The 898-nt window shown below is 35.7% G+C and overlaps 1 annotated feature.

Annotated features, from left to right (window-relative positions):
- Window positions 247-541: a silencer, noted in NCBI's record as "tiled region #15192; K562 Repressive non-DNase unmatched - State 24:Quies". NCBI's record gives its function as "represses a minimal TATA promoter and a strong SV40 promoter by Sharpr-MPRA in K562 cells {active_cell/tissue: K562}" and the evidence as "EXISTENCE:reporter gene assay evidence [ECO:0000049][PMID:27701403]".

Here is an 898-nt window from a genome sequence, read left to right as displayed (position 1 = left end):
GACTGGTGTCATTATTTAATAAAAGCACAAGAAGCAGCAGCAGCAGCAAAGGTTTGAAGTTAAATCCACAGACCTGAAGTGGAAGTTATATTGAGTTCCAACTTTATAGCAAAGTTATAGATAAGGGACTGTTAAAGGTAAGGGAATGGATCTATTTTCTTTATTTTCCTAAAACTAGTGTAAATGTAGCAATTTAGAGAGTGCAATCGAGTGTCAGATTTCTTGTACAACATTTCTGACTCAGCTTCTTAACAATTGTATAATGTTTTGAATACACCGGATTGCACAGATTCCAAGGAACACAATATTTTACATTTTCATATCTCATACAGTCAGTGGTGATTTATGGTCACTGTTGCACATGTGATAGTGGAAATGTAGTTGGCTTTGCCTGATCACACACATGCACTTGGTCATCACTGGTCAGGGTTATCTCACCTGAGTTATGAGCATTTGCATTACTGCACATGCTGAATTAGTTTGCCATTTAAATTGGCTTCAGATAAATTCAACAATATACTTGGGTTTAAGACAAAAAGTTAATGTATATGCAAAAACAGAGGAGTGGTGTTTAGATTTGATATTCGCGAAGCAAATATTCATCATTAGAAAAATGATCATTATGCCAGATTGTCTTGCAAAGAAAAAAACAAGTGTTTTATGACATCCAAGAAAGAAACATACCCACAAGTAGCTGAAATTGGGTTACATGTTTTTTACTGAGGCGCAGCAGAAGGATTGCTTATCACAACAAGCCATAGAACCAAAGGCAGGAGAAATTGCAACTCCCTTGAGATAGATGAGAAAAATTGCAAAGCAAGGAGAGACTGCTTTGATACAAGAACTCTTTCAACACGTGTAGAAGAAAACTTTGAAGTGACAAGAAAAGATTACATAA

This window comes from Homo sapiens, chromosome 2 (genome assembly GCF_000001405.40).
Source record: "Homo sapiens chromosome 2, GRCh38.p14 Primary Assembly".
NCBI classification, from domain to species: Eukaryota; Metazoa; Chordata; class Mammalia; order Primates; family Hominidae; genus Homo; species Homo sapiens.
This window is presented reverse-complemented; position numbering and strand designations above follow the sequence as displayed.